The sequence below is a fragment of the Homo sapiens genome, chromosome 3 (genome assembly GCF_000001405.40).
Source record: "Homo sapiens chromosome 3, GRCh38.p14 Primary Assembly".
Taxonomy (NCBI): domain Eukaryota; kingdom Metazoa; phylum Chordata; class Mammalia; order Primates; family Hominidae; genus Homo; species Homo sapiens.
In genome coordinates, this window is record NC_000003.12 from 40,493,623 (window position 1) to 40,518,749 (window position 25,127).

At 43.8% G+C, this 25,127-nt stretch overlaps 1 protein-coding gene and 1 pseudogene across 10 annotated transcripts; one reads left to right on the plus strand and one right to left on the minus strand.

The window, feature by feature from the left end:
• RNU5B-2P (RNA, U5B small nuclear 2, pseudogene) lies at positions 5,295-5,381 on the minus strand (annotated as a pseudogene).
• On the plus strand, positions 12,417-25,114 carry ZNF620 (zinc finger protein 620). 10 transcript variants are annotated; one of them, XM_017006064.3, is made up of 6 exons: positions 12,417-12,578; positions 12,682-12,754; positions 15,191-15,325; positions 17,848-17,974; positions 18,780-18,893; positions 22,238-25,114. In XM_017006064.3, the coding sequence occupies exons 2-6, from the start codon at positions 12,731-12,733 to the stop codon at positions 23,239-23,241; spliced, it is 1,404 nt and encodes a 467-aa protein (XP_016861553.1). In that variant the 5' UTR covers positions 12,417-12,578; positions 12,682-12,730; the 3' UTR covers positions 23,242-25,114. The 10 variants fall into 10 exon arrangements, with proteins under 10 accessions (XP_016861553.1, XP_047303829.1, XP_005265068.1 ...); XM_047447873.1 differs by having other exon boundaries at positions 12,417-12,516; XM_005265011.5 differs by lacking the exon at positions 15,191-15,325.
• The last annotated feature ends 13 nt before the right edge of the window (positions 25,115-25,127 follow it).

Sequence of the window (25,127 nt, forward strand, 5' to 3'; positions counted from 1 at the left end):
TGAGACCCTTACAACCTCCAGAGTGGTGTGTCTTTTGTATGCTAATGAGATGACTGGTAGCTGAGGTCCCTGAGATAGCTTAGGGATGGGGTCTGGTGGCAGAAAGATCAAGGAATAATTAGAGGGCTGGAACATTCAACCCCAACCTCCAACCTCTGGGAAGGGGAGAGGGGCTGGAGGCTGAGCTAATCATCAATGGCTAATAATGTAATCAATCATCCCTATGTAATGAAACCTCCATACAAACCCTAAACAAGGAGATTCAGAGAGCTTCCAGGTTTGTGAACACATGGAGGTGCTTGAAGGGTGGTGCATGGAAGGTCCATGCCCCTCCCTCCATACCTTGCCCTTTGTATCTCTTCCATTTGGCTGTTCCTGAGTTGTGTCCTTTATAATAAATCAGTAATAGGAAGTAAAGTGCCTTCCTGATTTCTGTGAGCCATTCTAGCACATTATCAAACATGAGAAGAGGGTTACGGGAACAGAAGTACAGTGGCCCAGAACTTATGATTGGCATCTGAAGTGGGGACAGTCTTGTGGGACTGAGCCTTTAACCTGTATGGTTTGATGCTAACTCTGGGTAGTTAGTGCCAGAGTTGAATTGTTAGACACCTAGCTGGTGTCCAGAGAGCTGAAGAACTGGTTGTTGGTGTGGGAAGAAACCCAAATACTTATGTGAGAATTTGAGCAGAAACCGTTCATACTCCCCTCTACTTGCTAGTTCAAGATTTGCGTAAGGAATGTCCACTTTCTTCAGGAAAGACGGATGGCTATTAACTAAGTTGTGCTGTTTTCAGACTTTTGCCTTTAACAGTGAGTTAGCTAAGTGTGCTATTTAGGATTCTGTTTAAAAATAGCAGAAACCTACTTGAATTAACTTAAATACACTTAATTTATTATGAGGATTTCTGCATGCACCCTGGCACCCAAAGGCAAGAATGCAACTAGAAGTTCTGGAGCGTGGAAAATCCAAGCAATCAGGAACAACAGGCAGCACACTCAGGTTCAATCTCAGCTCTTTCCTCACTTCTGATCCCTTTTTTGCTCTTTGCTTTCCTGCTTTCTCTGATCCTAGGCATAGGGCAGAAATTGCCAGAGGTCCTAAGTTTACAACTCCATTTCAGAGACCAGCCCAAATTCAGTTAGAATCTCTCAGACTTAATTCCTAATTCTTGGCAGAGAGAATCGGATTTGCTTAGTTTGGGTTGGTTGTTCACTTCTGGTCTGATCCTATGGCCCAGGGGGCTGGGTCATGTGATGTAAATGAAGCTTCCAGGGCCCCATCCTTTGGGAGGGGGTGGTTAACCGGGCTGATGAGACACCCAAAAGATGCCTGTTGCTAATTAGATCACAGTCTTTTCCCTCATTTCTATTGCTTCATGTCTCCTGACAACTAAGATAACTGAGAAGCCTCAGGATTTTTTTTTTTCTCTTCTGCCTGGAAGCTTTCATAAATTTATTTTTGACAATTCATTCTGCCTTGGTGTTGATTATACTCTATTAACGTTTTTTGGCTCTCAGTGATCTCTCAGACTGCATTCACATCTTCCTCTGATGACAGTTTGTGACTGGCCAGTGGGTGGAAGAGCTGGTGGGGTTAGGGAAATGGGGATATAGTCTCCTCTGATTTCCTTGGGGCTCTGTCTTTGGGGTAAACAGCCACCTCTGGCCATAGCTGAGTGAGTTGGGTCTTTCTGTTTGGGATATATGTGTGCAAGCAACTCAACAGTAGCAAGGCTGGCTCTCTGGCTATAGCTCTCCATTTGATTCAGTTCTGGTTATCCCTCCCCTCCCCTCCCCTCCCCTCCTCACTCCTCTCCTTCTTTTTTTTTTTTGTATTTTCATATCCACTCCAATATGGAAGCTGTCTTGGTGGTAACAACAACTGTGTGGCTGCATGATCTCTCCTTTAATTCTGTCACTACTGCCATTCCTCCTAATAAGTCTCTGGAATCTCCTATTCTACCAGAATAGGTCTCTGGTAGGGTATTTCCTGCCTCTCCTTGAATGCCCCTGCCCCTAGCCGTCATCTTCCCAAGCTGAGATTTCTTAGTAGCACCTTCAGACACATCTCATTCCATAAACTCCCCGTTCTCTCTCTCTATATATATATATATATTTTTTTTTTTTCTCCAAGAAGGGTCCTTGCTCCCATAGCCGGAGTGCAGTGGTGTGATCTTGGCTCACTGCAGCCTCCACCCCCCGGGTTCAAGTGATTCTCCTTCCTCAGCCTCCCGAGTAGCTGGGATTACACGCATGTGCCACCATGCCCAGCTAATTTTTGTATTTTTAGTAGAGATGAGGTTTTGCCAGTTGGCCAGGCTGGTCTCGAACTCCTGACCTCGTGATGCCCCCGCCTCAGCCTCTCAAAGTGTTAGGATTACAGGCATGAGCCACTGCGCCCGGCCTGTTCTTTATATCTTAACAGCAGTTAACAAGCTGTGGGGGAAGAACTCTGCCTCTTACAGTTCAGTCCAAATTATAATAAGCTTGGCTAATACACCTCTGCACTTGAGAGTATGAAATTGGGCTACTTCTCTAGTTTGTAGGCTTCCCCTTGGGGGAGGGTAACACTCAGTATGTCAAAGCTTGCTGTGTTAACAAGGACTTTAGAGGGAATGGCGATGGAGCACAGACTGGAGATGGTTAGATTCATCTTTACCAGTCCAGCCCCCCTGGACAAGGTCCTAGGAATGGTGAGGGCTTATAAAGAGACACAAACAGCTATTAATATTTCCCTATATGATGCCATGCCCTGGAGGCCAAATCCTCCTCTCCTCTTTTTTTTTTTTTTCTTGACAGGGTCTCACTTTGTCACCCAGGCTGGAGTGGAGTGGGGAGATCTTGGCTCACTGCAGCCACCTCAACCTCCTGGGCTCAAGCCATCCTCCTGCCTCAGTCCCCCAAGTAGCTGGGACTACAGGCATGCACCATCATGCTTGGCTAGTTTTTTTTTTTTTTTTGAGACGGAGTCTTGCTCTCTTCCCCAGGCTAGAGTGCAGTGGCATGATCTCGGCTCACTGCAAGCTCCACCTCCCTGATTCACACCATTCTCCTGCCTCAGCCTCCCCAGTAGCTGGGACTACAGGCACCCGCCACCACACCCGGCTACTTTTTTTGTATTTTTTATTAGAGACAGGGTTTCACCATGTTAGCCAGGATGGTCTTGATCTCCTGACAGTCAGGAAATGATTACTGTAATGTTATAGTATGGATTGATATATGGGTACAGCAAATTTCCTTTTTCCCCAAAAAATATTCTCACTAGTCTTTTCATCTGTCCCTCTGTATAAGCTTCATAATCCAGATTCTTTAGAACTTTAGAATAAAAAATTATTTCCTTTGGGATTGCAGTGACTTATAGATTAAATGAGAAATGACAGTTTTAGAAAAATAATGCTTTCCACTTATGAACATGTTCTCTCTTGTTATTTATTCAGTTCTTCTTTTATGTTTTTCAGTGAAGGGGTGTGTGTGTGTGTGTGTGTGTGTGTGTGCGCGCGCGCGCGTGCGTGCGCGCGCATGCGTGCACACGTGCATGTGTGCGCTATAGGTCTTGTCCATCTTCCAACTGAATTTTGGGGTATACTATTGATTTTCTATGTTGGTCTTCATCTGGCCATCTAATTATCTACAGCGCATCTGCTTCCTTCCCACGTTCCCACCCAGGGCTTGAGTAGGAATCTTTTGTTTCAGGAACTAGTGACCATCAAGGATACAACTTTCTATTTCACCTACAAACAATGGGCCAGCCTGATGCCTGCTCAAAAGACCTTGTACAGAGATGGTATGGGAGATACAGTTCTGTTGCTTCTCCAGATGACGCCCTCTCTAGGACTTAGCCTTTGTACTTAGCTTCCTGGCTTCTTTCCTCTTATAGGCTGAGGTATCTCTCATAAGCTCATTTTCAGAATTCCATGAGCTGAGTTACCCAACTCACCCGCCTCAGGGACTGCTGGCCAGGGAGAGCCCTAGATTCTCTGTAGTATTGAAACAGATGTCCCCAGTTCCCTAGTAGAGGCTCTGCTTTGGGCACAATGGGAAATGAAAATTTTTTTGATGCCCTAATTGAGCCCTCTGTCCCTACACCATCCCTGTTTTCTTGAGATCTTAGCCTCCTACCATGTGGGTGGGATACTACCACTATTTCAGCCCACACTCTCACAGGGCCAGATGTGTTACGCTCCTTCCTGAGTAAGACAGTTGGGCTCCTTCTGTAGAGTGCTCCACTTTCCCTGAGATCCCGCCTCACTTGTTCTCCGGGGTGTTCCAGTTCTTCCTCCACTTGCTAAAGGCAGAAGATGGGCTGAAAAGAGTTCCAGATATCAATTCTGGTTGACTCCCCACATTTTCCTATTCCTTTTTTTTCTCCTTGAGAAACATTTTATTCCCAAAACAAGTTCTGATATCTCTGCTGGAGCAAGGGGAAATACCATGGGGCCCAGATCCCTGGGTGCTGCTTGGCAGAGAGGCCCTGAGAGGTGTCTGTTCTGGGGAGTGAGAGAACCTGTGAGCTTCCCTTCCTGCTTTTCCTCTTTGTTTTTGTGTTTGTCTGTTTGCTTGTTTTAAGAGATAGGGTCACTGGGCACGGTGGCTCATGCCTGTAATCCCAGCACTTTGGAAGGCTGAGGTGGGTGCATCACTTGAGGTCAGGAGTTTGAGACCAGCCTGGCCAACATGGTGAAACCCGGTCTCTACTAAAAGTACAAAAATTAGCTAGGTGTGGTGGCAGGCGCCTATAATCCCAGCTACAGGCCCTGGTGTGTGATGTTCCTCTCCCTGTGTCCATGTGTTCTCATTGTTCAACTCTCACTTATGAGTGAGAACAGGCGTGTTTGGTTTTCTGATCTTGTGATAGTTTGCTGAGAATGATGGTTTCCAGCTTCATCCATGTCCCTGTAAAGGACGTGAACTCATCCTCTTTTATGGCTGCATAGTATTCCATGGTGTATATGTGCCACATTTTCTTAATCCAGTCTATCATTGATGGACATTTGGGTTGGTGCCAAGTCTTTGCTGTTGTGAACAGTGCTGCCATAAACATACGTGTGCAGGTGTTTTTTATCGTAGAATGATTTATAATACTTTGGGTATATGCCCAGTAATGAGATTGCTGGGTCAAATGGTATTTCTAGTTCTAGATCCTTGAGGAATCACCACACTGTCTTCCACAATGGTTGAACTAATTTACACTCCCATCAACGATGTAAAGCATTCCTATTTTTCCACAACCTCTCCAACATCTGTTGTTTCCTGACTTTTTAATGATCGCCATTCTAACTGGCATGAGATGGTATCTTAAGACTCAGAGGTGTTCCTCTCCATGGAAATCTTTAGTAAAAGGTGAAAGATTTATATGATCTGAAGAGAAGCCAGAGTATAATTTTCTACTATTTTCAATACAAAGATGTGTTTTCATTACAATTAGAGGAATATAGGCTTCTGTGAGCTAGCCTGGAAGCAAACATAATCATTATTGTTCATTGTTTCTGTGAGAAAATGTAATGCTGTTTCTAAATATTGACCTAACAATAAACTCTGAGGAATTCATGATTGTAACTGGATGGAAACTGGCTTTCTTCATTTGAAATAAATTAATTGAACAAGATAAAAAAAATCCAGAGACATATATTTTGGCTTTTCTTCTTATTTTCAGCCTGTTCCAATTTCAAATCAAGCTATACAGAATCCTTTTATAGCATAGTGCCTTTCAATCCAGCCCCACCATTACCTTGAAGCACTCCCTTCCCAGTAATGACCCTGCCCTAGGACTTAAGGCTATTTCAGTAAGAAAACTTCCCAACAGTCCTTCTGCATCTACTTGTGAATCCTCTTTGCTGCAGCTATAGGTCATCTGATTAGTCCACTAATGGCCTTCATTAATGAAAAGAATAGCCTTCTAAAATTGTAGATTAACTAAGAATATTCCTTATGCAGCCAGTAGCTTTCTTATCTGCTTTCGGTATCAGCCAACTTTCTGATGAAGATTTTCTCTCTTATCACAGAATATTTCATGGGTAATATTTGAACATAGAATTTTCTGGAAGTAAGAGTCGTTGGTTGGGTGTTGGAACCCTCGGTTCCTGGTCTGTGCTTCTCAACCTGCTGGATCTGGTGTGGTGCTGCAGCTGCTCACCTAGCCCTCTCCTCCAGACCCAGGCACATCCTGTTTCTTCTTCCCATGCTCTTGCTGCTGCTTCTCCCTCTTCCACCTCACTCTTTTCTCTAACCTCCTTCCCATCTTGAAGGGACCTGTTCATCTCCCTCTACACTCTTTAATTCTTGTCGCCCTGCTTCTGGAAACAAAATAGCTCCTCTTTTGACCCATCCTGTTAATTACCAGCATCTTCAGTTTTCTGTGGGATCCCATTAGGTCTCTGTCCTTGTTTCCTCTGGCCCTTATGCAGCCATTTTAGTCTGTTGGGAAGAAACCATATACTCAGAAAGTAACCTAGTAACACTTGATTGACTTTCTCCTCCAGCCCAGCTAATGATTGAAATTTGACCCTTCCTTCCCTCCTTCCTTTCCTTTTCCTTCCTTCCTTCCTCCCTCTCTCCCTCCCTCCCTCCCTCTTTCTTTCTTTCTGAGTCTTGCTGTCACCCTGGCTGGAGTGCAGTGGTACAATCTTGGCACACTGCAATCTCTGCCTCCTGGGTTCAAGCGATTCTTGTGCCTCAGCCTCCCAAGTAGCTGAAACCACAGGCACATACCTCCATGCCCAGTTAGTTTTTGTATTTTAGTAGAGATGGGGTTTTGCCATGTTGGCCAGGCTGGTCTCAAACTCCTGACCTCAAGTGATCTGCCTGTCTCGGCCTCCCAAAGTACTGGGATTACAGGTGCGAGCCACCATGTCTGGCCTTGTCTTTTCTTTTTGTTATGTCACCATATAAGACCAGAATTGTCATTAAGGGACTAATCCACAGTTGCCAACTTCTGAAGAAATAGAACCCCAAGGACTGACATCAGCAAGGGATGCAGTCTAGCACTCTGACCATTAGGGCAGCTTAGAGTGGCAGCAGGGTCATTGCACAAGGAAGAAAAAGACAAAGAAGAGAGGTTTCATAGATGTATCAGTCAGGCAATATAGGTCCCTCCACTGTTCAGAAGAGAAGTTTAAGAAATTAGGTAAAATCATTAGTGACAGCATGCACCTTGTTACAAATCTGAGAGTTCACACAGAACAGATCTAATGAATGTGGTGAGTGAAGCTGATGTTTCAAACTAAGGTCAGTCTTTCACCAACATCAGAGAATTTACCCTGGGAAGATATCATACAATTGTAAAGAATGTAGAAAAGCCTTTAAATATAGGTCAGAACTTTCACAGCACCAGAAAATCCACATAGGGAGAAACGGTACGCCATGTAGGGAATGGACAAGCTTTTAATCAGAACACCCACCTTCTTTTTTTTTTTTTTTTCTTGAGATGGAGTCTCGTGCTGTCACCCAGGCTGAAGTGTAGTGGTGCAATCTTGGCTCACTGCAACCTCTGCTTCCCGGGTTCAAGCAATTCTCCTGCCTCAGCTTCCCGAGTAGCTGGGATTACAGTGCGTGTCACCACACCACACCTGGCTAATTTTTGTATTTTTTTTTTTTTTTTTTTTTTTTTTTTTTTTTTTTTTTTTTTGTGACAGAGTCTCACTCTGTCGCCCAGGCTGTAGTGCAATGGCACGAGCTCAGCTCGCTGCAACCTCCACCTCCCAGGTTCAAGCGATTCTCCTACCTCAGCCTCCCAAGTAGCTGGGACTATAGGTGCCCGCCACCATGCCCGTCTAATTTTTATATTTTTAGCAGAGATGGGGTTTCACCATATTGGCCAGGCTGGTCTCAAACTCCTGACCTTGTGATCCACCCGTCTTGGCCTCCCAAAGTGCTGGGATTACAGGCGTGAGCCACCTCACCCATCCTAATTTTTGTATTTTTAATAGAGACGGGGTTTCGCCATGTTGGCCAGGCCAGTCTCGAACTCCTGGCTTCAAGTGATTGGCCCGTCCTCTGCCTCCCAAAGTGCTGGGATTACAGGCATGAAACACCTGCCCGGCCAGAACACCCACCTTCTTTAGCATCAGAAAACTCCACGGTGATGGCAGCTGTATAAATGGATGGAGTGCGGAAAAAAACTTAAGCTCCAAGATTGCCTTGAATTCTGATTCATTCTGTACCAGAAACTAAACATTCAGAAGACAATTGTTCAAGGCCAGGCACAGTGGCTCACACCTGGAGTTCAAGACCAACCTGGCCAACATGATGAAACCCCCTCTCTCCTAAAAATACAAAAATTAGCCAGGTGTGGTGGCGGGTGCCTGTAATCCCAGCTACTTGGGAGGCTGAGGCAGGAGAATCACTTGATCCCAAAGGTGGAGGTTGCAGTGAGCCAAGATCGCACCACTGCACTCCACCCTGGGTGACAGAGCAAGACTCTGTCTCAAAAAGAAAAAAAAAGGCACTTGTTCAAGAGTAGGGCTGTCCACAGTTAGACCCTGCTAAGGAATGACTGTTCGTTATCTCACCTCCTAATTACAGGGAAAGAGTGTGGTCTGGCCCCACTCAGATCATATATTCATTCTTGATTAATTCAACTATGGGTGGGGGAGCAGAATTACACAGTATTTACACAGCTATCTGGGACTCACTGCTGTTGGTGAGGAGGGCAGTTAAAGGGGCTGTTGTATGCTGATAGATACTCTACAAAGACCGTACCATGTTGAGCATATACTTCCTAGACTAAGTTCATTTCCCTCAACACTCCATGCCAGAGGCTCTTAACCCAACTGCCCATTAGAACCACTTGGGATGTTGTGTTTTTGTTTTTGTTTTTTAATACCAATGCCTAGGCTGAATCCTAGACCAATTATTTCAGAATCTCTGGGAGCAGGTCCCAGGTATCAGTATTTTTTTTTTAATTCCCTAGGTAATTATAAGGTGATGCTACAAAGAACCACTTTTTTTTTTTTTTTTTTTTTTTTTTTGAGATGGAGTCTTGCTCTGTCACCCAGGCTGGAGTGCAGTGGCGCGATCTTGGCTCACTGCAACCTCCACCTCCCAGGTTCAAGCAATTCTCCTGCCTTACCCTCCTGAGTAGCTGGGATCACAGGCATGTGCCACCATGCCCAGCTAAATTTTTTTTGTATTTTTAGTAGAGACAGGGTTTCACCATATTGGCTAGGCTGGTCTCAAACTCCTGACCTCAGGTGATCTGCCTGCCTCAGCCTCCCAGAGTGCTGGGATTACAGGTGTTAGCCACCGCGCCCAGCCAAATAACCACTTCTGTAGACCTTTGCTACTCAAATTGTCACCTGAAGACCAGCAGCATTGGCATCACCTGGGAGATTTATCAGAACTACAAGCTCACTGAATCAAACTCTACTCTTTGACAATGCTACCAGGTGACTTCGTGGACACACTAAGGTTTGAGAAGCATTACTCCAGACCCTGCTCCATGTGTGTGTCTTGGCATCTAATATTGCCAAGAAGAAGTCTGAGGCAGCCTGATTTTGCTTCCTTTTCAGTCTGGAAATTTGCAGAACTTTAAATCTTAAATTTTCGTAATTTCACTAGGATATGTCTTGTTGCTGGTTTTTCCCCATTAAAATTTCCTAGAATTTAGAGAGCATTTTCAGCCTGCAGATTCTCCTCCCTGATGAATGGCTTTTTCCTTCAAGTTTGTCCTATCAGGATTAGAACTAGGGTTAGATTTAAGGACACAACCCATTTTAAGATTATGTTGTCTTTCTAGTATGTATATATTTTTTAAATTGAGGTATCACTGACATACAATAAGCCATGCATAAAGTGTATGATTTGATAAGTTTTGCCATATGTATATGTCTCTCAAAAAATAACACAATCAAGATAACAAACATAATCATACCCCAAAAAGTTTCCTTATGCCCTTTTATAATCTCTCCATTCCAGCCTGCTCCTCTCCTGCCTCCAGCCCCAAGAAACCACCAATCTGTTTTCTTTTACTATAGTTTTCCTTTTCTAGAATTTTATATAAATGCTATCACACAGTATGTACTCTTTTTAAAGTTATTATTTTTTTTGGTGTGATGTCTTTCACAACACAGAATTATTTTGAGATTCACCCATGTTGTTGCATATATATCAGTAGTTCATTCCTTGTTATTACTGAGTAGTATTCCACTGTATGGATATGCCACAACTTAACTCAAATGATGGCCATTTGAATTGTTTCCAGTTTTTGGCTATTATAAATTAAGCTGTTATGAAAATTTGTATGCAAGTCTTTGTAATGTAAGGACATATGTTTTCATTTCTCTTGGGTAAATAACAAGAGTGAAATGGCTAGATAATAAGGTAGGTGTATATTTAATTTTTAAAGAATCTGCAAAGTTTTTCCAAAGAGACTGTGCCATTGTACATTTCCATCAGTATTGTATGGGTTCCACTTCTGATACATCTTTGCCTACACTTGATGTTGTCTCTACTTTTAGCTTTTCTAGTAAGTGTGTAATACTGTTTCACTGCGGTTTTAATTTGCATTTCTCTAATGACTAACAATGTTGAGCATCTTTTCAAATATTTAATTGCTTTCCATATATCTTCTTTGGTGAAGTATCTGTTCAAATCTTTTGCCTATTTTTAAAAATTGGTTTATTTTCTTATGAGTGAGTTTTGAGAGTCCTTTATATATTTTGGAAACAAGTCTTTTATCAAATATTTTTGGTATTTTCTCCCAGTCTGTGGCTTGTCTTTTCATTCTCTAAAAGTATCTTCTGAAAAGCAGAAGATTTAACTTTGATTAAGTCCAATTTATCATGTTTTTTTCCACTGGCTAATACTGTTTAGAATTTGTGGTGTATATGTATGTACGTTTATGTGCACCCACTCATGGTAAATGTTCATTTTAATAGGTTTAGCGAAGGGACAGTATGCACATGTATGTCCTTGTCATGCCATTGTTTCTGGAAATCTAATTATTTAAAACAAGTGCTGTGCATAAACTTTAAAGTGAAAATACTATAGATTTTATAAAATGAACTGTTTCTGTGACAGTTAAAATCTCTGTGCTAGGTGGCCCCACAATGGCTCCCAATGGTTCTCATATCCTGGCATTCAAACCTTGTGTATCTCTTCCCACACTGAATCATGACTAATCTGAGGAGAATGTATTGAGGAAATCATGATGCATGATTTCCAAAACTAGGTCATAAAAGCTTTGGCCTTGGCCTCTTGGATTGCTCACTTTGGGAGAAAGCTACATGCCATGTTGTGAAAACCCTCACATGGGAAGGAACTGACGCTTCCTGCCAACAACCAGCACCCACTTGACAGCCATGTGAGTAAACCACCTTGGAGGTGGATCCTCCAAACTCAGTCAAGCTTCAGATGACTTCAGCCCCACATGACACCTGACTGCAACCTCAGCAGAGACCCTCAGCCAGTACCACCCAGCCAAGCTGCTCTTGAATTCTGGGTCCACAGAAACTGTCAAAAGATAACAATGTTTATTGTTTTTAGCCACAAAGCATTAGAGTAGTTTATTATCCAGCAGTAGATACATAATATACTCTCCATGGCAGGACTTGTTTTGAAAGTGGTGGATAAATCTAATTCCTGTGGAAGGAATAACTAAAATCTGTTTCCAGGCTGGGCCGGGACACACATCCCAGTACAGGGCAGGAAAGGGCTCTAAGCCAAATGTTAATAGCTCTTTCGCTAAACTTCGAAAATTGTCCTTAAAAAAATCTATTTCCCTAAAGCACGCCACATATTGGAGTCCCAGCAGCACCTATTTTGTGTCTTCAAAAAACACAATTGGAAAACAAAACAATACAAACTCACGAGTACATACTATGTGCCAGGCACAACTGTAAATAATTTACCTATCAATTAACTAATTTAATGAATTAACCCTGAACAGCCTCAAGAGGTTGGTACCACCATCATAATACCCATTTAATAGACAAGGAAACCGGGGCAAAGAAACTTGCTGCAGGTCACACAACTAGCAAGTGGTGCAGCTGGGTTTCTGGACCTACGTAGTCCATACACATTCGGCCTTCTGAGTAATGGGTTCGCCTTTCCCCACACCCACTTTTCCCACTGCAGCGCACCCACACAATCCAGACAGTTTTGGCGCATGTGAAGGGCGCGATGGTCCCTTCATTATCTGGAAGGACACCCAGAGTGGCAAATGCCAGATAACCACGAATAATACCCAGGATAGTAACCATTCTGTGGCCTGAGCTGGCCAGACGTCATGCCCCGAAGGAGCTACCAGGTGTGGGCGCTGCAGGACCCCTGCCTGGGGCCGCCCGCTCGGGCCCGTGTTGTCTCAGGCAGTAGGGACACTGGCGCTGACGGCGGGGGTAGGAAACCACAGAGACTGGCAACTTCCCAGGTTCCTAGAGAGGAGGGGCATGGAAAACGCACTTCCGGCGGAGGGTCTCAAGCTTTCCCCGGTGTCGGCGGCAGGTGGAATTTCCACGCTTTATCTGCGCCTGCGCCGCGCGGGATTCGCGGTCCGAGCTGAAGAGGTTCGCGGTCCGGGTAACTGATTGGTTTTCCTGGGGCTTGTTCTGCCTGGTTTTGCAACCCCTTTGCTTTTTGGGGTGAGGAGTTGGCGGAAAGGAGAGGGGCCCAAGTAGCACAGAGGGCATTTGCGGGGTGCGAGGCAGCATCAATCTCACCGGTGCTTCTTTATTTTCTCTTCAGTTTCACTTCTCCGAACCCTGAGGCAGTGTGTGAAGCTGGGACGCCAGCCATGTTCCAGACCGCTTGGCGCCAGGTGAGTGAGCATCCTCTCCCTCCCTCCCACCCTTTAGATGTCAAGAGAGAGCAGGTGTCACCTCTGCATTCAGATCTTGAGTTGTGTAGGCCAGTGGCTTCCATTGTGCATCTGTCACTATGAGAGGGATGGAGAGGTGAGAATGCCCAAATTAAGACTAGAAAACTAGTGAGTGTGGGGGGATTGGTTGGGATTTGGCATTTGAAGCCAGCTTAAAAATAAAAATTATGAAATGTGGAAATCTGCATTATTACATCCAATAAAGACCCCTTTCACCCTAGTCCGCAGGCTTGGAGAAGTACTTACTTCTTCAGTATAGCAATTCTAGTAACTGTTTTGTAGATTCCATTGTATTTTCTACATAGGTCATCTATGAGTAAAGATAGTTTTACTCCTTTCTTTCCAGTCTGGATGCCTTTTATTTTATTTTGTCTTGCCTTACTGCACTGGCTAGAAGCATTATTTCAATATTGAACAGAAGTGGTGAGAGCAGATATCTTTGTCTTATTTATGCTTTTAAAGTGAAAGCATTCAATCTTTCACACTGAAGACTGATGTTCACTGTAGGTTTCTTGCTTTTTTGTTTTGTTTTGTTTTGTAAATGTCCTTTATCAGGCATTCTCTTCTAGTACTACTTTGGTGAGAGTTTTTATAGGAATGGATGTTGGATTTTGACAATTGCTTTTTCTGTGTCTATTTAGATGACCATATGGTTTTTTTTTTTTTTTTTTTTTGAGATGGAGTCTTGCTCTATCGACAGGCTGGAGTGCAGTGGCGCGATCCTGGTTCACTGCACCCTCCACCTCTGGGGTTCAAGCGATTCTCCTGCCTCAGCCTCCCGAGTAGCTGGGACTACAAGCACGCGCCACCACACCCAGCTAATTTTTGTATTTTTAGTAGAGACCAGGTTTCACCATGTTGGCCAGGATGGTCTCGATCCCTTGACCTCGTGATTCCCCCACCTTGGCTTCCCAAAGTGCTGGGATTACAGGCGTGAGCCACCGTGCCCAGCCTCTCTTTGTTAATGTGGTGAATTACATGATTTTTCTTTCAAATATTAAACCAACTCTGCGGTGGGATAAAACCGACTTCGTCATGGTGTATTATTATTTTATTAGTACTATATATTGAATTTAATTTGTTAAAATTTTATTTAGAATTTCTGTATCTATGTTTATGAGGTATTGATTTGCAGTTTTCTTTTCTTGTGATGTCTTTGTTCCATAGAATGAGAAATATTCCCTCCTCTTTAATATTTTGGAAGAATTTATGTAGAGTTGACTGCATTTCTTCCTTAAATGTTTGGTAGAATTCAACAGTGAAGCTATCTAGGCATGGGGTTTTCTTTCTGATAAGGTTTTTAAGTACAGTTTTGAGTCCTTTGGTAGATACAGGGGCTACTCTGGTTATCTCTTTTTATTTATTTATTTTTATTTTTTGACAACGGTTTTCTCTATGTTGCCCAGGCTGACCTCAAATTGGGCTCAAGCAATCCTCCCCGCTCAGCCTCCCAGGTACCTGGGACTACAGGCATGCATCACTACGCCCAGCTTAAATGAGTTTTGGTAACTTGTGCCTTTCAAGGAACTTATCCATTTTATCTAAGTTGTAGAAATTATTCACATAAAGTTGTTCATAATATGTGCTTATCTTTTATTACCTGCAGTGATGTCACTTCTTTTATTACTAATATTAATGATTTGTGTATTCTCTCTTTTTTTCTGGTCACTGGCTAGAGGTTTATGAATTTTATTAATTTTTCTTTAAGAACTAGCTTCTGGTTTCATTACTTTTCTGTTTTATGTCATTAGTTTTCACTTTGATCTTTAATGTCTTTTTTATATTTATTTTGTGTTAAATTTGCTATTCTTTTTTTAGTTTTAAGGGGGAAGCTGAAGTCACAGATTTGAGATCTTTCTTTTTTTTTTGTTTTGTAAAATAGGCATTTAGTGCTATACATTTCCTCCCAAGTACCGCTTTAGCATTATCCCGCAAATTCTAGTACATGGTGTTTTCATTTTCATTCAGTTCAAAATACTTTGTACATTCTCTTATGGAAGTGTGTTACTGACTTTACAAATATTTGGGGATTTTCCAGGAGTCTTTCTGTGATATCAAATTTAATTGCATTACAGTCAGAAAACATACTTTGTATGACTTGAATCATTTTGATTTTATTGAGCTTTCTTTTATGGCCCAGAATATGGACTGTCTACCTATCTACATTGTCTTATATGAATTTAGCCACTGCAGCTTTTTTTTTTTTCTTTTTTCCTTAGAGACAATCTTACTCTGTCTCCCAGGCTGAGTGCAGTGGTGCAATCACAGCTCACTGCAGCCTCCACCTCCCAGGCCTAAGTGATCCTCCCAAGGAGTTGAGACTAAGTTGAGACTACAGGTACAGACCACTGTGCTTGGCTCTCTTCTTTTTCCTAGAGACAAGGTTGCCTAGGCTCTTCTCAAACTCCTAGATGCAAGCCATCCTCCCGCCTCCACCTCCCAAAGTGCTGGGATTACAGGCATGAGCCACCATGCCTGGCCTTACAGTTTTCTTTGGCTAATGTTGTCATGGTATGTCTTTTTCTATTCTTTTGCTTTTAATTTATCCCTGTCTTTATATTTAACGTACATTTCTTGAAGGTTCTTCAAGCAATGTACTATCTTAAGCAGATAGTAGGTTCTTATTTGCTTAAAAGTCCAATATGACAATGTTTGCCTTTTGGGATGTTTAGATTATTTACATTTGATACCATTATTGATATGGCTGGATCTGGGCCTGTCATCTTTCTACTTGTTTTGTAATGGTCCCATCTGTTCTTTGTTTCCTTTTATTCTCTTTTTCTATTTTCTTTCTTTTCTTTTTTTTCTTTTGTTTGAGACAGAGTCACTGTGTCACCCAGGCTGGAGTGCAATGGTATGATCTCGGCTCATTGCAATTTCTGCTTTCTGGGTTCAAGCGATTCTTGTGTCCAGCCTCCCACGTAGCTGGGATTATAGGCACACACCACCATGCCTGGCACATTTTTTGTATTTTTAGTAGAGATGGAGTTTCATCATGTTGGCCAGGCTGGTCTCGAACTCTTGGCCTCGAGTGATCTGCCCACCTCAGCTTCTCAAAGGGCTGGGATTACATGCATGAGCCACCGTGCCTGGCTCTTTTTTTTCCTATTTTCCATAGGATTAATGGTGTGTAAATATCAGGCATCGTTCTTTTCAGTCTTTCCAAATGATCCTTTCTCTGGCCTTGGTTAGTTTTCCCACACCCATGTACTGATCTGTATTTTGTTGAATACTCTAAAGGGACCTTCTGCTGATAATTGAGATTCCATCTCTATGCAGCCCTCTCCTCTCTGGCATTCTGTCCTATAAACTCAAGCTGCCTTGGTCTCTTCAGACTCTACAAGGAAATATGCCAGGTTCTGCCTCAGTTCCCCCTTCCTGTGTTGCAGCCTGGAAATTCCTCAGGGTAGTAGCTTAGGGAATTATAGGGCTCACTTCTTTTCTTTCCTGTTTCTCAGGGATTGTTGTCGTTTTTTGCATGATATCTTGAAAATTGTTTTATATAATTTGTCTGGTTATTTTGTTTCAGGCAGGAGGGGAAATCCAGCCCCTGTGATTCCACCTAGATAAGAACTGGAAGTTTTCCCTTAGCATTTTTTTTTTTTTGAGACAGTCCCACTGTCACCCATGCCAGAGTACAGTAGCACGATCACGGCTCACTGTAGCCTCAACCTCCCCTAGGCTCAGGTGATCCTCCCACCTCAGTCTCCCGAGTAGCTGGGAGCACCACCTTGCATGGCTAATTTTTGCATATTTTGTAGAGACGGGGTTTCACCATGTTGCCCAGGCTGGTCTCGAACTTCTGAGCTGAAGCAATCTTCTCACCTTGGCCTCCCAAGGGGCTGGGATTACAGGTGTAATCTGTAATCCCTGCATTTTCAAAAACATTACCCTTTTACTTTTGGTGTTTAGTCTGTTGCCATCTCGACTTCCCAGTCTTCGTGTGTGTTGTTTTTCCTTCTCTGAAAGCCTGTAGGATCTGTTGTGTATTCTCATTTTTCTGAGATGTCTCAGTTACATGCCTATGTGTAGATATTTTTCATTCATTGTCCTAAATACTTTGTTGGTCCTTCCTTCTCTATGTTGCTTTTAAGGAGATAGAATATTTTACCAAGTTATAAACAACAGTGCACATTTACAAAATCCTTAGCTCATCCTTAGTTCTGTGGTGTGAATTGGGCCCCTTTTTGTTTGCTTCCCCTTCTGCCAGAAGTTGAGTTTCATCTTTGTCTGCTTTTCTAGTCTAGTTATCATTCATTCTCTTTCTGCCTTCTAAAATTCTGTTTATACCTCTAGTTGGCTTTGATTCTTCTCTCTCTCTCTTTTTTTTGAGACAGGGTCTCACTCTGTCACCCAGGCTGGCGTACAGTGGTGCAAACACAGCTCACTGCAGCCTCGACCTCCCCGAGCTCAGGTGATCCTCCCATCTCAACCTCCCAGGTAGCTGGGACTACAGGCATGCACCACCACACTTGGCGAATTTTTGTATTTTTTGTAGAGACGGGATTTCACCCTGTTGGCAACATCGCCAGGCTGGTCTCAAGCCATCCGCCTGCCTTGGCCTCCCAAAGTGCTAGGATTACAGGCGTGAGCCACTGTGCCCAGCCTGCTTTGACTCTTCTCTTGGGCTATTATGTTACTATCACTTTAATGGGGTTAGGGAGAGAGTGAAGATCAGTACAAAAGTGTTATTCACTGTGTTTATACAGATGTCCCCTGTGCATGTGCACACAAAACCCACACTGGGGAAAGGAGCCCAGAGGAACAGATGGGCACACAGAGCAGGGCACAGTGGAGGCAAGCAGAGATCAGCAGATGAAAATAGAGCTGTTTGCTGGGGATGACCACAAAGGGGTGCAATGACCCTTGGACTCCCCTGTTGGTGCGGGCAAAGATGGCTGAGGGCTGGCCTCATGGTGGAGTGCTGGATAACTGTCCTTGGCAATACCACTAGACCCAGTAGATCTCTGCCCCACTACTTAGCCTGATCCTCTGCCCTCACACAGGGTTTGAGCAGGAACTTGTTGTTTTAGGAACCAGTGACCTTTGAGGATGTGGCTGTGTACTTCACCCAGAATGAATGGGCCAGCCTGGACTCTGTGCAGAGGGCCCTGTACAGGGAAGTGATGCTGGAGAATTATGCAAATGTGGCTTCCCTGGGTAAGACATTTCTTCTTGTTTTTGGCCTCTGCCCTTTAAGCATCCTGGCTTCTTTATTCCTTAGAACTTTGTGGGGTTTTTTTCTTTTTTTCTTTTTTTTTTGAGACAAGAGTCTCCCTCTGTCGCCCAGGCTGGAGTGCAATGGCGCAATCTCGGCTCACTACAACCTCCACCTCCCAGGTTCAAGCGATTCTTCTGCCTCAGCCTCCAAAGTAGCTGGGATTACAGGTGGGCGCCACCACACCCGGCTAATTATTGTATTTTTAGTAGAGATGGGGTTTCTCCATGTTGGCCAGGCTGGTCTCGAACTCCTGGCCTCAAGCGATCCTCCTGCCTCAGCCTCCCAAAGTGCTGGGAAGACATGTGTGAGCCACCGCTCCTGGCAGGAGAACTTTGTGGGGTTTCTAATAACTCTCTGTTGCCCTGAAGGCTGAGCTGCCTGGAAGTTTCTGGGTGGAGAGAGCCCTGCGTTCCCAGGTTTTGAAATCACCTGTCCCTCCAACCCTGGGAGGGGCTGTACCCAAAACATGGGGGGGAAAGGAGCTCTTGGGAGCACAGCAAAGCCCCTTGTGTCTTCCAAGTTCTCTGAAGAAAACTTGAGATTCCCTTATGTGAGCGTGGGATTATTCTGGGACTCTGTGCCACTTTGTGGGAAATTTCTGTCCTCCAGCAGCATAGATTAAGTTTCTCCCTGACTCACCTTGTCTCTCACTACCTGGCTCAGCAGATAAAGATAAAGGGGGCTGCAAGAGGATCCTGGTTCCTGATTCCCCTTACCTTTTCCTGTTTCTTTCTCCCTGGGCAGCATTCCCATTCACCACGCCTGTTCTGGTCTCCCAGCTGGAGCAAGGGGAACTGCCATGGGGCCTCGATCCCTGGGAACCTATGGGCAGGGAGGCTCTCAGAGGTATCTGTCCAGGTGAGCATGAGAACCCACTAGCTGCCTTTTTGGCTTGGCTTGCTTTCTTGTTTTCACATTTCATTGTGCAAGAAGTGTTTCTTCTCTTGGGAGACTGTTTTTGTTCCTGTGGAATCATTACATGTGATTCTCTGAGTTCATGGTGGTAGCCTACCTCAACTGGGGAAGGGCCAGTCTCTTTTAAGACAGGAATGACTGTAAGATTTCTTTGCATATTCGTCTTTGCCTGTCCTCCTCACAACCTGCCAAGGGAGACTGTCTGATTGGGCAGCACTTAAACCAGCTCATTTCTTCTCTGTCACATGAAAACATTTTATTTTTCTGCCAGTTTGTTTTTGCAAAGATGAGGATGTCAGCCACCTTTGGAGGAAAATAGGCTTCTGGCAACATGGCTGGCCATCTGCATATCATAGGCTACATTGTTTAAGCACTGACTTAAAGAATAAAAAGTTTGTTTTTATAATGGAAATTTTCAAATATATGCAAACACCAGCATAATGCACTCCATGTATCCTTCATCCAGCTTCAACAGTCACAAATATCCTTTGATTCTTATTTCATCTTTCCCCCACAGATACTTAAAAAAATTTCTGAAGCAAAATTTATTGTAAATTAAAGGTGAATAACTTTCTCACTTCGATGGCTATTGATATAAGAATTAAAAATAGGCTGGGCATGGTGGCTCATACCTGTAATCTCAGCATTTTGGGAGGCTGAGGCAGGTGGATCACTTGAGGCCAGGAGTTCAAGACCAGCTTGGCCAACATGACGAAACCCCGTCTCAACTAAAAAAAAAAAAAAATATATATATATATATATATATATATATATATATATATGGCCAGGTGTGGTGGTTCATGCCTGTAATCCCAGCACTTTGGGAGACCGAGGTGGGTGGATCACCTGAGGTCAGGAGTTCGAGACCAGCCTGGCCAACATGGTGAAACTCCATCGCTACTAAAAATACAAAATATTAGCATGGACGTGGTAGCACGTGCCTGTAATCCTAGCTACTCAGGAGGCGGAGGCAGGAGAATCGGTTGAACCTGGGGAGTGGAGGTCGTAGTGAGCTGAGATCATACCATTGCACTCCAGCCTGTGGGCAGCAAGCCACCCAGGTGCCAAGGCAAGAGACTGAGGGCACAAGCTGTTCCAGTATAATAAAGAAAATATATAGAATAAGAATAATTATGCTAGAAATAGATTATAGATATGATTATATATTAATATTATTAATCATTAGTTTGTAGCATTACTCTTTATTCCAATATTATAATAATCTCTGTTCTACAATTATAACCTAGGAAAAACCAGGCCATACAGAGATAGGAGCTGAAGGGACACTGTGAGAAGTGACCAGAAGACAAGAGTGTGAGCACTCTGTCAAGCCGGGACAGGGCCACCAGAGGGCTCCTTGGTCTAGCGGTAATGCCAGTGCCTGGGAGGGCACCCCTTACTTAGCAGACCTTGGTCTAGCGGTAGCGCCAGTGCCTGGGAAGGCACCCGTTACTTAGCAGACCGGGAAAGGGAGTCTCCCTTTCCCCGGGGGAGTTAGAGAAGACTGCTCCACCACCTCTTGTGGAAGGCCTGACATCAGTCAGGCCCACCCGCAGCCATCCGGAGGCCTAACCATCTCCCTGTTGATGCTGTGCTTCAGTGGTCACGCTCCTGGTCCACTTTCATGTTCTGCCCTGTACACCTGGCTCTGCCTTCTAGAAGAAATAATGATGTAAGCTGTCCCCTCTCTCTCTCCGCCTCGGCTACCAAATAGGGAAGGGCCCCCTGTCTGGTGGACATGTGACTCGTGTGACCTTACCTATCATTGGAGATGACTCTCACTCCATACCCTGCCCCTTTGCCTTGTACATAATCAATAACAGCACGGCCAGGCATTCAGGGCCACTACCAGTCTCCGCATCTTGGTGGTAGTGGTTCCCTGGGCCCAGCTGTCTTTTCTTCTATCTCTTTGTCTTGTGTCTTTATTTCTACCATCTCTCGTCTCTGCACATGAGGAGAAAAACCCAGAGGCCCAGTAGGGCTGGACCCTACACCAGCCTGAGTGACAGAGCGAGACTCTGTCTCAAAAAAAACCCAAAAACATCAAAAATTAGCTGGGTATGGTGGTGTGCACCTGTAGTACCAGCTCCTGGGGAGGCTGAAGCATGAGAATCACTTGAACCCAGGAGGTGGAGGTTGCAGTGAGCCAAGATTGCACCACCACACTCCAGCCTGGGTGACACAGCGAGACTCTATCTCAAAAATAAATAAATACATAAAACATAGTATATTTTTTAATCTTTCTTATTCTGCTTCACCCATTCTCTGCCTGTGAAAATTTTCTGTGCTCTTCTGCAGAGAATGCCCATTACTGATCCACCCCCAAGTCTTGAGTTTAAGTTGTACCTTTCTGGATGTGACCTCAGGACCCTACGTCATCTGAGTAAAAATATTTTCTGAACAATTTTTTGTGAATGCATGCAGGCTGAAGATTTTACTTAGTCTGCAAAAGGTTTTGATAGTGGAGGGAATATTTCTCTTTGGTTTTCCCTTATTATCATGTGAGTTTAGTAGTTCACTTTTCAAACTGTTGTATTAAACAAATGCACAACCTATGAGACCTTTTAGGAAAAATGGCAAGCATCGTTACCAGGCCCTCTTTGGGACTTACATTCACTCTTGGAAGAGTTCTTCACATTTCCAGTGCTTTTTGGTTTTAAAGGCAAGCCTCCAAACCTTCCTTTCTCCTGGATGCTGTGGTGGTTGCCATGCATGGCATCCTCAACCACTGCATGGGAGCCTGCTGCTTTACTAGAGCCAGCTTGATGGTAGAGATCAGCTCTCTTTTCAAGGTTATGACATGCATGATGTCTTTTAACAAGCATCTCTTAAGGAATCTCAGCCTGTGGGACCTGTTGTAGTGCTTGAACTGCTCAGCCTGCCCCTTCTCTAATCTTGGGAGTCTTCCTCTCACTTATGGATTTCCATTTGTTACTTTTTTTATGTTTGCATCTTTATCCACCTCATTCATTTTTCTCTTAGTCTTTCTGCCCTAATTAACAGTCTTTGCAGTTTTCTGGTTTTCACACTGTTTATGGGAATGCCTCCTGGCCTTGCTTCCCTCCCGTCTCATAGAGTTTTCATGTCCCTTGCAGGGCTCTGTTGTGTGGTGATCTTAGGCAGCCATCTTGTGAGCATATTAGAAAATATCCATATATTCAGGGCAAATTAGAACCACTTGATTCTGTTTCTTCTTCAGCACAGATATTGTGTGTGTGTGTGTGTGTGTGTGTGTGTGTGTGTGTGTGATATCAGGGACTGACATTTGTATTTTCTTTTTGTGATAGGGGATGAGGCCAGAACTGAGAAGGAAGGATTAACTCCAAAGGATCATGTGTCCAAAGAAACAGAGTCCTTCAGACTGATGGTGGGGGGCCTGCCAGGGAATGTTTCCCAGCACCTTGACTTTGGGAGCAGCCTAGAGCAGCCACAAGGTCATTGGATAATTAAGACAAAGTCAAAGAGGAGACATTTCACAGATACCTCAGCCAGGCACCATGAGGCCTATGAGGTCAAGAATGGAGAGAAGTTTGAGAAATTAGGAAAAAATATTAGCGTCAGCACACAACTCACTACAAATCAGACAAATCCTAGTGGTCAGATATCTTATGAATGTGGACAATGTGGCAGATATTTCATTCAAATGGCAGACTTCCACCGACATGAGAAATGTCACACTGGTGAAAAGTCTTTTGAATGCAAAGAATGTGGAAAATACTTCAGATATAACTCATTACTTATTCGGCATCAGATAATTCACACTGGAAAGAAACCATTTAAATGTAAAGAATGTGGAAAAGGTTTAAGTTCAGACACAGCCTTGATTCAGCATCAGAGAATCCACACTGGAGAAAAGCCCTATGAATGTAAGGAGTGCGGCAAGGCCTTCAGTAGCAGCTCTGTCTTCCTCCAGCACCAGAGGTTCCACACTGGGGAGAAGCTCTATGAATGTAACGAATGTTGGAAAACTTTCAGTTGCAGCTCAAGTTTCACTGTCCATCAGCGAATGCACACTGGGGAGAAACCTTATGAATGTAAAGAGTGTGGAAAACGATTAAGCTCCAACACAGCCTTGACTCAGCATCAGCGAATTCACACTGGGGAGAAGCCCTTTGAATGTAAGGAGTGTGGGAAGGCATTCAATCAGAAAATAACCCTGATTCAGCACCAGCGAGTTCACACTGGCGAGAAACCTTATGAGTGTAAAGTGTGTGGTAAAACCTTCAGCTGGTGTGGAAGATTCATTCTGCATCAGAAACTACACACTCAGAAGACACCTGTCCAAGCATAGGGCTATCCATAGTTAGGCCCACTGTGCCTCTCCTTTTTTCTCTTTATTTTCATGCTTTTTATCAGTGTCCTCGCTGTCCTTCCTGGTTAGACACTTGGCTTTCATCATGAACTCTTCTTTAAGTTTTTTGAACCTGTTTCCCCAACATGAAGTCTCTTTATGGTTAGAGAAGACCAAAAAACAAACAAACAAACTTAGAAACATAAAAGGAAATGTAAGTTTCCAGATTTAAAGGACATGCTGGGTGCCCAGCAGGATGGATTCAAGGGAAACCTACATTAAGGAAAATTGCTGTGAATTATGAAAACACCAAGTTTGAATAAGAGGATCATGGAGAAAAAATGAGACCCTAAAAAGTTTCTAGAGAGAGAAAACAAAAGATCAGAAATGAAAGCGGGGCCAGGCGCGGTGGCTCGTGCCTGTAATCCCAGCACTTTGGGAGGCTGAGGCGGGTGGATCATGAGGTCAGGAGTTCGAGACCAGCCCGCCCAATATGGTGAAACCCCGTCTCTCCTGAAAAAAAAAAACACAAAAATTAGCCAGGCATGGTGGCGCATGCCTGTAATCCCAGCTACTAGAGAGGCTGAGGCAGGAGAATCACTTGAATCCCTGAGGCAGAGGTTGCAGTGAGCTGAGATCGCACCACTGCACTCCAGCCTGGGCGACAGAGTGAGACTTTGTCTCAAAAACAGTAAAAAATGAAAATGGCATTAGATTTTTCAAGAGCAACCTTCAAAGTCAGATGACAATGTGTATGCCTTCAGACTTCTCATGGAAAATGTTTTCCCCTGCAATTCTATACTCCAAAGTATAAGTATAGAATAAAGGCATTTCAGACCCTTTAAATCTGAAATCTTTATCTCCCATGCATCCTTTCTCATATGTGCAACACTACACAAGGAGTAAACCAGTAAATAAAAAGACAGATATATGGATTCCCTATTGCAGTCCGTACGTCAGAAGTCTCCTAAATTCAAAAACGGGCCCTGTCCATGTGGAGCCAAATGCATCTTGGAAGACATTCCTAGTAGGGTGCAAACTTCCAGAGACCTATCTCAGGTTCAGTGTCCACCCACCCTACTTATTCTTCAGTTTGTCTTCACTAGACAGTTGTACTCTGTGCCTTTGCAAAAGTCAGGATGTATATACTCTTTGAGTCAGGTGCAAGGCACCATTTGTCTTAAATTTATTCTCATTGCTGTTTCAAGTGACCTCAAAGCAGGCAGCATTTTCTTGCAATTCCATCTAGTTATTTTTTATGATCATGGAAGAACCTACCATTATTGCTGTTACCTGTGGAAATGAGGGAAGATGTAAATGTGTTAGGTTTTAGCATCCCCTCTGGCAGCCAGCTTGATTTTGCAGGAAGCAGAGAGTAGTGATTAATAATACAGAGCCAGGCAGACTTTGGTTTGAGTCCAGGTGTTTGTCCTTGGTTAAGTTACAAAAACTGCACTAGTTTCCTTATCTGTAAAATGAGGATGACAGTTAATCTACCTCATAGGTTTGTGTTGGGGATTAAATGCATTATTTGTAGAAGTGTTTCAAACAGTGACTACATATAATAAAAGTATTACCTATTATTGGCCGGGCACAGTGGCTCATGCCTGTAATCCCAGCACTTTGGGAGGCTGAGGTGGGCAGATCACAAGGTCAGGAGATCAAGACCATCCTGCTAACACACTGAAACCCTGTCTCTACTAAAAGTACAAAAAATTAGCTGGGCGTGGGGTGACATGTGCCTGTAGTCCCAGCTACTTGGGAGGCTGAGGCAGGAGCCCAGGGAGGCAGAGGTTGCAGTGAGCCAAGATCATGCCACTGCACTCCAGTCTGGGTGACAGATTGAGACTCCGTCTCAAAAAAAAAAAAAAAAAAATTTTTACCTA

Coding starts and splice junctions, on each gene's coding strand:
- ZNF620 (XM_017006064.3), top strand. CDS start 12,731: ATGTTCCAGACCGCTTGGCGCCAG. Junction 17,975..18,779: donor TGCAAATGTGGCTTCCCTGG/GTAAGACATTTC, acceptor CTCCCTGGGCAG/CATTCCCATTCACCACGCCT. Junction 18,894..22,237: donor TCTCAGAGGTATCTGTCCAG/GTGAGCATGAGA, acceptor TTTTTGTGATAG/GGGATGAGGCCAGAACTGAG.